General features: G+C 39.1%; 1 protein-coding gene across 2 annotated transcripts in view; it reads right to left on the reverse strand.

Moving 5' to 3' along the window:
- The window catches only part of COPA (coat protein complex I subunit alpha), a 54,657-nt gene that overhangs the window by 41,794 nt on the left and 2,054 nt on the right, over positions 1-10,809 (reverse strand). For both annotated transcript variants that reach the window (NM_004371.4, NM_001098398.2), the window contains exons 2-6: positions 9,794-9,907; positions 9,522-9,595; positions 4,855-4,935; positions 3,216-3,292; positions 2,061-2,170 (exon numbers count right to left, since the gene is read on the reverse strand). In NM_004371.4, the coding sequence (NP_004362.2) occupies positions 2,061-2,170; positions 3,216-3,292; positions 4,855-4,935; positions 9,522-9,595; positions 9,794-9,907 (456 nt within the window). The remainder of the gene's footprint in view (positions 1-2,060; positions 2,171-3,215; positions 3,293-4,854; positions 4,936-9,521; positions 9,596-9,793; positions 9,908-10,809) is intronic.

Consider the following 10,809-nt stretch of genomic DNA (forward strand, 5'->3'; position numbering starts at 1 on the left):
TGTCAGTCTGATGAAAAACTGCAATGGCAAAGCCCTAGGGAAAGAGAATACAACTGCCCTATCTCCAATACCTCTTGTTTATACTCCTCCCTTTCATTCTATGCCTTTGAAAACTACAAAGACAGCATTATCTAGAGGTTCTACTCTACAATTGTCCCCATCTCCTCTTGTCTTGTTTCTATGCTACATTAACCTAAACTGCTATTGCAGTATTCCAAATGCTGTATCTCAGAATCCAAATTTTCAGCTTGCTGTTCATTAATGGTCTATAAGAACAAGTGCCATTATTGCCCCAGTCCCCCATGCCACAATGGAGTTGGGAATAGTTATCACCTCAGCTGTACAATGCAGAGGATGACTCCTTTATTACAAAGAACCAAACAAAGATCTATGAGGGGGGCCTTCCTTTCATAGAATGAAACATGTTTTGTAGTCCAGTCACTGACATTTCAAAGAACTCAAATCTCCAAGAATTTCTAAGGAAATGAATACAAAGAAACAACAGGCTGGGCATGGTGGCTCGCGCCTATAATCTCAGCACTCTGGGAGGCAAAGGTGGGTGGATCACCTGAGATCAGGAGCTCGAGACCAGCCTGGCCAACATGGTGAAACCCTGTCTCTACTAAAAATACAAAAATTAGCTGGGCATGGTGGCACATGGCAAAAATAAATAAATAAAAGTTAAAAAAAAAGAAAGAAAGAAACAACAAATACTAACTGGTCAGAGAACTACAGCATTTAGTGTTTGATTTCCCTATTCCAACATGAAGCGCTTCCATAGGTCTCACAGGTACAGTCCATTCTCTACATTTAAATTCTCTAGGTAGCACTTTCTTAGATCTCCTCTATATAAGACTAAACATTTAAATCCTTGTCTCAAAATAAAGATATGTAAACTGTAAAAGGAGGAATTATCCCAACTATCCATAATCTATAAATTATTTAATTTCTAGTCCTAAATCTGTCCATTAAAAGGTATTCTGGGCTAGGCACAGGGGCTCATGTCTGTAATCCCAGCACTTTGGGAGGCTGAGGCAGGAGAATCACCTGAGGTCAGGAGTTCGAGACCAGCCTGGCTAACATGGTGAAACCCTGTCTCTACTAAAAATACAAAAATTAGCTGTGCGTGGTGGCGTGCACCTGTAATCTCAGTTACTTATGAGGCACAAGAAACGCTTGAATCCGGGAGGCAGAGGTTGTAGCGAGCCGAGATTGCGCCACTGCATTTCAGCATGGGTGAGACAGAGTGAGACTCCATCTCAAAAAAAAAAAAAAAAACAGGCCAGCCACGGTGGCTCACACCTGTAGTCCCAGTACTTTGGGAGGCCGAGGCAGGCAGATCACAAGGTCAGGAGTTTGAGACCAGCCTGGCCAATATGGTGAAACCCCATCTCTAATTAAGATACAAAAATTAGCCAGGTGTGGTCACATGCATCTGTAGTCCCAGCTACTCAGGAGGCTGAGGGAGAATTGCTTGAACCCGGGAGGTGGAGGTTGCAGTGAGCCAAGATCATCACACCACTGCGCTCCAGCCTGGGCAACAAAGCAAGACTCCCTCTCAGAAAAAAAAAAAAGGTATTCTGGACATAAAAGTCACCAACTCCTAGAACCCAACCATGCTCCCCGCACTAGAAGAAACGTAATAGAGAGATTTTACTATTTTTAAATAAAGCGATAGGGTCCAAGAGTCTTGTTTCCCTGTATTAATCTATTCTCAAAATTTCTTTTTGTCATAGATGTATTTTTTCTTATTTGAGTGGAAAGCATGATTCTTAATCAAATGTTGCAACAGTAAATAGATTTTAACAAAAGCTGATGTAACTAGAAAGTTAAAATTTCTTCAAATCAAATGAATTTTCTAGAGTTACCTCTTTTCTTAGAGAAGACTTCCAATATGAAGAACCATCAAAGCAAATTCAACAACCTCAGAAACAAAGATGCTATTATAAAACAGAATATTCTAAATTTTCCAGTTCTAAGTCAACTCTCCTCACTATTTTAAGCAATTGCAGTTTTGCACCAGAGATGACCAGGTTGTCCTCTGAACTTGGGCAGCTCACCAGAAATATCCCAAACGCGCACAGTCTGGTCCAGGCTGGCTGATACTACCAAGTCTTCTGTGGGGTGGAACTGAGCACACATCACATAATGGTTGTGCCCTGTTAACACACTGCAAGAAAAAAAAAAGACAATACCAAATTAGAGGTGGAAGTCAACAGACTCCTAAACTAAATACCTTTCTCCATATTCAATAAATGCTTATCCAGTTTTACTTTTATGGAGACAAAGGCAGGTCATCCTACCAATTCTGAACTAATAATAATAAGCCCAGTCAGCTATTTTAACAATAGTTCTCTTCTTGCCTCTAATGCTTTAGTATTTAAATATTACTAATTTCAGGAGGACTAAGATTACATAGCTCTTCTCTCAAAAATATTTTAAAATATCAAAATAAATGTAATCTCAGTAATCCATACTGTAAATTATCTGTGAGATTTTAGTAGGGTATCCCTTTTAAAGGCCATCACTTTATTTTTTATTGTTATTATTTTTTTGAGATGGAATTTCACTCTGTTGCCCAGGCTGGAGTGCAGTGGCGCAATCTTGGCTCACTGCAACCTCTGCCTCCCCAGTTCAAGCGATTCTCCGCCTCAGCCTCCCGAGTAGCTGGGACTATAGGCACACGCCACCGCGTCCAGCTTATTTTTGTATTTTTAGTAGAGACGGGGTTTCACCATCTTGGCCAGGCTGGTCTCGAACTTCTAACCTCAGGTGATTTGCCTGCCTTGGCCTCCCAAAGTGCTGGGATTACAGGCATGAGCCATGGCGCCGGGCCAAGGCCATCACTTTAAATGGTCCCTAACTCTTCATGGAAAGTTCTATGTAAAGCTCCAGCTCCAAACACAAAATAAGACAAAGGTCTAGACCTTGACTCAGGTTTTATGGGAAAATAATTGAAAACCAGCTAAAAGTTCTTGTTCTAAAAGGCTATATGACTTCTCTTCCTGGTAAGAAATTATTGGAAGTCCAGATTCATATATGGGATTGCCTCTACATTTATTATTTTGCACTTAAAAGCATCCTACAAATACAATCAGTAATTAATCAGCCGACATAGTCCATTTGAGAAGGGAGAAGATTGTTCTAAGAGAAGCTCATTATGAAAAACTAGGAAAAATGAAGACTCTTTTCGAGCCCTCTGCCTCCTGCTTTACCAAACACAGGTTCTAGATTGCCAGTTCCACACTCGGATGGTCTGATCATCGGAGGCACTCAGAATCCAGGGATATTCCTGAAAGATATTCCAGACAAAGGCTTTAAACATTAAACAAATCTGTTCTATCAGGTTCTTGTAATCATTTTTCTCTAAAGAACTGCATTGCTTAACGGCTCAGCTACATTAGCAAAGGGGCTGCTGCTTTTGCTATCAGGTTAGCTGTCTCCTTTTCTCTACCACTCTAACAGCTTTTCTCAACTTCGGCACTTTCACCTATAAGACTTAAGAATGGAAGCCAGTTAGAGGCACAATACATTCTCAGAGGCAGATAGTGAAACATACATTTACATTTACTTCTATATGTGTGTGTGTGTGTGTGTGTATTTATATACAGTTAATCATGTAAATTAAGATCCTGTGAAAGACTCTTCTACCTTTAACTCTAGGATGGGAATATTATTTTATTGTCTGACTTCTTTCTGTCCAGTTTCAAAAAATTCCCAGGTCTCAGCAAGCAAAGCAGAAAGTAACATGTAAAGACAATTTAGCCTTTTTGGAGTCTATAAGATTGTTGAGAAAAGGAAGTATTTCTTATTTACACTTCCTTCTTACTACACTTGCTAAGCTTTGTGTTAAACACTGAAAATAGATGGTATTTCTATTTTCAATAGAGATAGTATCTCTACCTTCAGTATTTAGCACAAAGCTTAGCAAGTATAAGGCACACACATATTTAGTGAGCTGGTAAAATGAAAGAAAATAAGGTCTTTCGTAACTTTCCAGGTAGATGGCAACTTGTTCTAGGCAAGGGTCTTCAGGAAGTCCTTTATGGCAATGACAAATAATTCCTACTTAATAAGTTATCTTATTGAGTGGTTATCATTCTCAAATGTTTAAGCTGTAATTTTCTCATTCTCTCCTATCCTAGAATTTTTTAATTAAAAAAAGAAATAATATATACTCAACCAGTAAATTGTTTATTTCATCATATTCTTTCTAACTTAATTAAAGAGACTTAATTTACTGGCAATCAAAGAATAGTGTAAGTTAATGCTAATACACAGAACTATAAGGAGATCCTGTCAGGGTGCAACTGGATTCAGAGGTTGGGAGTCTGTAATCTGCACCTCACTATCTAAATCTACTATGTTACCTGGCAGATCAAAGAAAGTAGTAAGCCTGGCTAAGGGAACAGCCTCCACCAGACCCAAAAATCCTAGGATAGAGGGGTATGATTGTTAATACTTCGAAACGTTTGTTAGCTGATCAAAATGGCATCTTAGTCTGACCTTCTTCCAGACACACCTACTACTTACTAATAATACCCTACATGGGATTAGCTGGCAAACTTTTGTTTTTTGGTTCAGCAAATCTGAAATCAAATCCCTACTTTTCCCTACAGAGAAACAATGACTTCCCATAGAATCCACTGAATCCAATAAAATTAAATTCAGTATAATCCCAAGTGCTTCCTTTTGCAGAAAGAAAAAAAGCAGAAAGGACAATACCACACAGATTGTAGAAGAGCCACTCCAAAAACAACTCTATTATTAAAACATGGGTTCTCAAGGATCAAATAAAGATTACTATGGGGAAACTAAGAATGCTCCAAAACTAGCGCCACCATGACTACTTACATGATGAAAAAACGTGGTGCGAATATAATCTAAGTGCCCAAGCAATGTGAAAAGACAGCGCCGAAGCTTGTAATTCCAAACCTGCAAAGACAAATCAAACTAAGAAACAGAAATAGTTATTGAGCCTCTAAAAGGCTCAGAGAAATTGATATCTTTACAGAGATAGAAATATGTATATAAATATAGATTTATATACATTATTTGTATTTTGGCATTTCTAAATAGGTAGGAACCTTGGTAGAAAGCCTTGTTTAAGATTTGAGGGGAAAAGAACAAGAATGAAAATATAGGTCAGATAAACAACATGGGGTTGGGGTAGGATTAGGGAAAAGCTAAAGATAAAATTATTGAAGTTTTTCAGGCTGGGCGTGGTCACTCATGCCTGTAATCCCAGCACTTTGGGAGGTCGAGGCGGGTGGATCACAAGGTCAGGAGATCGAGACCATCCTGGCTAACATAGTGAAACCCTGTCTCTACTAAAAATACAAAAAATTAGCCAGGCGTGGTGGCATGTGCCTGTAGTCCCAGCTACTCGGGAGGCTGAGGCAGGAGAATCGCTTGAACTCAGGATACAAGAGGTTGCAGTGAGCCGAAATCATGCCATTGTACTCCAGCCTGGGTAACAGAGCGAGACTCAGTCTCAAAAAAAAAAAAAAAAAAAAAAAGTTTTTCTTTCTTTGGGAAGAAGCCATCTGCATTTAATAGCAGGAGATATTTATCCAGGGCTTGATTTGCAACTCTTTTTTCTACTGCAAAATTGTGCTCTTGGCTTGAATATAGACCCCTTAAGTGCTTTACCCATCACTTTTAAAAAGTATGACAGGCTGGGCACGATGGCTCATACCTGTAATCCCAGCACTTTGGGAGGTCAAGGCAGGGGGATCACCTGAGGTCAGGAGTTTGGGACCGGCCTGGCCAACATGGGGAAACCCTGTCTCTACAAAAATACAAAAAAAAATTAGCCGGATGTGATCCCAGCTACTTGGGAGGCTGCGGCAGCAGGATCACTTGAACCTGGGAGGCGGCGTTTGCAGTGAGTTGAGATCGCTCCACTGCACTCCAGCCTGGGCGACAGAGAGAGGCTCGGTCTCAAAAAAAAAAAAAAAAGTAGGACAGATAGATACCATGACTCCAAGGGAAACAATAATATAGGGCATCAGCTTCTTAGGCTCCTAACTTGATGGCAAACAACGCCCATACATGTGTGGTCTGTACTCACCTGTCAAGCAAACAGACCTTAACTTATTACATGGAAAATACTACATTGCTCAGTAAGCCTGAGCTAAGCAGAGAAACAATATCATATTCAGATGTGAAGTTGAGTCAACTACCAAAGTACTAGGCATCAATGAACACAACTGAAGACATGAAAACCAGGATCATAAATATAAAATAGCTTATCTTCCTCATTCAGAAAATCCCCTAAAATGTACAAAAATAAGAGACCAGATGCATTTTTCTTCTTATTTAATTTTTTTAAATTTCTTTTTAATATTTGTTTATAATCAATCTGGGCCAGCTTGTTACTATTTCTAATTTTTAACTTTTCTTCAGTAAATTATAAAAATTTCATTTCCTATAACAAGTCCAGACAATCCAAAAGTATGATCTTCCAAACAAGAATGCTGAGTTCCTTAAAGGCAGGGTTCTTGTCCATCATGCTCAACACTATACCCTTACCACCTAACACAGTGCCTGACATTAGGTAAGTGCTCAGTAAGCATTATGTATGGAAATAAGAATAACATGAAAAGTTAAGGTATTCCAATACCTTTGCCTCTATCTATTCAATCAGCTACATATAAATACACATGTACACAGTAGAGTTTCACATAAAAATTAGACCATACCATAAACACTATTCTTTAACTGACTTTTTTCCCCTTATAGAGTTCAGTGTTTTAAACTTTCATATTTCTAGTTTCAAAATGTCTTGACTCCTTTAATGGCCTAAGTCAAGCTCCAAAACTGTAAATCCTTAAAAACTTATAGGGGTTTTAGATGAATACTCTGACCATTTGCTGGGCTCCTTGTCTTACTCTTTGTCAACGAGGATTATAACTAATGCTACATTTATCTGGATATAGCAAGCAATAAGATGGTCCACAGACATGACTTTTCTAGATAATCCCCCTTTTTATGGAAAAATGTTCAAGTTTATTAGTCATCAGAGAAATTAATTAAAACCACCGAATGGGCCGGGTGCGGTGGCTCACGCCTGTAATCCCAGCACTTTGGGAGGCCGAGGCAGGAAGACGACCCGAGGTCGGGAGTTCAAGACCAGCCTGACCAACATGGAGAAACCCCATCTCTACTAAAAATACAAAATTAGCCGGGCTTGGTGGCGCATGCCTGTAATTCCAGCTACTCGGGAGGCTGAGGCAGGAGAACCACTTGAACCCGGGAGGTGGAGGCTGCAGTGAGCCGAGATCACGCCACTGCACTCCAGCCTGGGCAACAGAACAAGACTCCATCGCAAAAAACAAACAAACAAACAAACAAACAAACAAAAAACAAACCAAAAAAACCCACCAAATGATAGCACTACACACCTACCAGCTAATAAAGAATTCCTTTGTTTTAATAACAGCTTTATTGAGATACAGTTCAAATACCATACAATTTATTCATATAAAGTATAAAACTCAATGGCTTTTAATATATTCACAGTTGTGCAACCATCCATTTTAGAACATTTTTATTCACTCCCCTAAGAAATTCATACCCATTAGCTGTCACTTCTCATTTCCTCCCAACCCCTCCAACCCTAGACAATCACTAACCTACTTTCTGTCTCTATAGATTTACCTATTCTGGACATTTCATAAGTGGAAGATAATTTCTTTTCCAAAATATTAGTCATTTTGGGAAAACTTTTTCTTAATTAACACCCAGTTTTTCCTTTTTAAACAGATTATAAGAATCCCAAGTTAACCATTCTTGATACTCAATGTTCATCACTATAAATAACAAATACAAAAATACTATAATGAGGTGATATCCTTATGGGCTTTTGAGATCTGTCAGGTGGTTTGAGTTTTGATTGCCCCAGGATGTGGTGCCTAAAAACTAGAAAACAGAAAGAAATGTCCTTCCTATAATTCTAATAGCTCTTTTCTCTGTAGGCAGCTGTCACTCTTTACTCCCATCACCTAAGTTCTGCGGTATAATCACAATATATAACTTCTTGAAGTTGCTTATGAAAAGACTTTACCTTTTTATGAATTAAATTTCACTGGTTCGGTTTGACACATAGACTTAATGAAAACAACTAAAGGAAGTAAACAGAGGAAATTTTGATTTATTTTTATAGGTTGCTAGTCTCTGGCTCTAACTTTTGCTATTATGATAGTCAGTTGTCTTTAAAGAATTGCCTATATTCTGTCTGCTTCCTCATTTCACACTAAGGCCTTCCAAATTAAGCAATTCAAAGGTTATTTCTCAATCTTGATCTTATTCTGAACACTTTCTCCTTCCCAAAATTCTCTTCTTCCTTGGCATCCAAGAGGCTTCTTCTCCCTCTTGGTTCATCTCGAACCCCTCGAATCACTGTTTCCCATACTAACTCTACTTCCTCTCTCTCCCTTAAATGATGGTCTGTCTTCTTATTCAACGTACTCCTTGAGCAATATCTTCTACTGCTTCTCCTTTGGCTCCTCCCTTCATGACGACAAATCACAAATATATTTCTAGCACAGACACCTCAACTAGACTGTCCCTTAGGTCCCTCAAAATCACCAGAGACAAGATGGAATTCATTATCCATTCTCTTCCACTCCAGAAAACTATCTCCTCCTGATTTTCCTTTCCTAGTTAATGACACCCCCTTTACCCAGTGACCTAAACTAGAAGCCTGAAAGTCAGCTCATTTATTTCTCCTTATTGGCCCTTATTTCTCCTTATTGGCCATCTCATTTATTTCTCCTTATTGGCCATCACCCAACAGACACACTGATTCATTTCCTTAAATTCTCACATCCATCTCCTTCTCTCCATTTCAAATGCTACTACCTAAGCTCAGGTTTCCTAACTGGTATTTTTGCCTCCTGTCTTGCCCAAATCATCCAATCTTTTCTTTAATTACCACCAAGTAATCATTTTAAAAACATATAAATCTGGTATCACTCCTGTATTTAAGTTCCTCAAATGGCTCCTAGTTATCTGCATGATAACATCTAAACTCCTGAGCGCCACAAACAGGTACTCCATGATCTGGCCCCTCTCATCTTCTGCCCCTTCTCTCACCATTTCTCCAGGTTTTCTCCATACAAAACCAATAACAGCTGCCCTGTATCTAGCTGTGTCATGCTTTTTGTCTTTGCACCTATACTGCTCTTTCCTATTTCACTGTGAATATCTCTCTATTATATTGCTTACCAAACTGTACATGCTATTACTTGGATATATGTTTATCTTCTGTATTAGAATAAAAGCTCCTTGAAAACAGAAGCCATTTCTTATTTATTTTTGAATTCCCTAAAAAGAAAACAGTGTCTGGTACACAGTAAGCATTCAATAAATGTTTGCTGAGTAAGTTCTCCGGATAATGTTGTCAAAGGCCTGAGCTCTGTATGAATGAAATTTCCTGTCTTTCAGTTCCTTTCATGATTCCCAAACCTTCCCACATCCTCTTTCCTTTATTCTCAGTTATGACAGACCCTCTGTACCTTAATCTTATAGTCATCTCCTCCAGAGACGAACAGTGGCTGCTGCTTATGGAAGTCAATGCCTCGCACTGGACCTGGTGGAGAAGGCAGGCAATGTATGTTAGACAGAGCTATCCTTTCTAATCTCTAAGGTGATTCCTATTCAGGATTTTTCAGTTCTATCATTTCCACATTCTTTAATCATAGAGGAATCCATGTCAAACAAGGCTTAAAATACCCCAGGATATTATAAATACTTATACTCCTTTAACTTCCTCCTAGAAATATCTCACCATCATGTTCATCAAACTTGTCAATGAGAGTGCACATCCGATAGTCCCATAACTGGATGACCCCATTATGTAAACTAGTCAGGATCCAAGGTCTTTTGGGGTGAAAGCTGAGCCCTGAAAAAAATAGAAAATGATACAATGAGCTAACTAAGCCCCATGATGTCACCTTCTGTCAATTCTGATAAGAAAAAGAAACATCAAGGTTAATCCTAGGTTCATTCATTCGACATGCTTGATGATTTTTTACTGGATGCCAGACATCGTGAATTTTATGTTTGGTACTAGATTTTTGTCATATTCCTTTACATATTCTTGGGCTTTGCTCTAGGATACAATTAAGTTACTTGGAATCAGTTGATCCTTTCAAGGCTTGCTTTTAGGTTTTATTACAGAGGGGCTACAGCAGCCTTCATTCTAGGCTTAATCTGGAACCACTATTAAAGCAATAGCCATCTGAGGTCTCTATTTGAAGCCCTGTAATATTAGGAAGTCTTTCCTTTCTGGCAAGTAGGAACACAAACTAGTCCCAGTTCACTAGTGTGAACTCTGGGGATTGCTCTGCCTTCTCCTTTCCAGTGGTCCTTTTTCAGGTTTTGAATAGTTTTCTCACATGCAGATCAGTACTCAAACAAAGACCTGAGAAGACATCCTGCAGATCTCTAGTGCTCTCTCTCTGCAGCCCCCTCTTCTCCGGTATTTTGCCCAACAAAATCTAGCCATCTTTGCTTCCCCACACTCTAAATTTATGTCTCCTCAGAAAGACCAAGGGATTCCCCTCTTCACTGAAGCCTAAAAACTCTCTAGGCAGTAATCTACGACAATCACAGGACTCACCTTGTTTATTTGCCTTCTCTGGAGAATTATTTTCCTGCACTGCCTGTTGCCCAACATCTGTGAGCAATGTATGAACCTTTGTTTCATACATTTTGTTCAGTTGTATAGTTAAGGTGGGAAGGTAAATCTGGCTCTTGTTATTCTATCATGACTGGAAATGGAAGTCCCCAGAGGTAACAACT

The sequence above is a fragment of the Homo sapiens genome, chromosome 1 (assembly GCF_000001405.40).
Source record: "Homo sapiens chromosome 1, GRCh38.p14 Primary Assembly".
NCBI classification, from domain to species: Eukaryota; Metazoa; Chordata; class Mammalia; order Primates; family Hominidae; genus Homo; species Homo sapiens.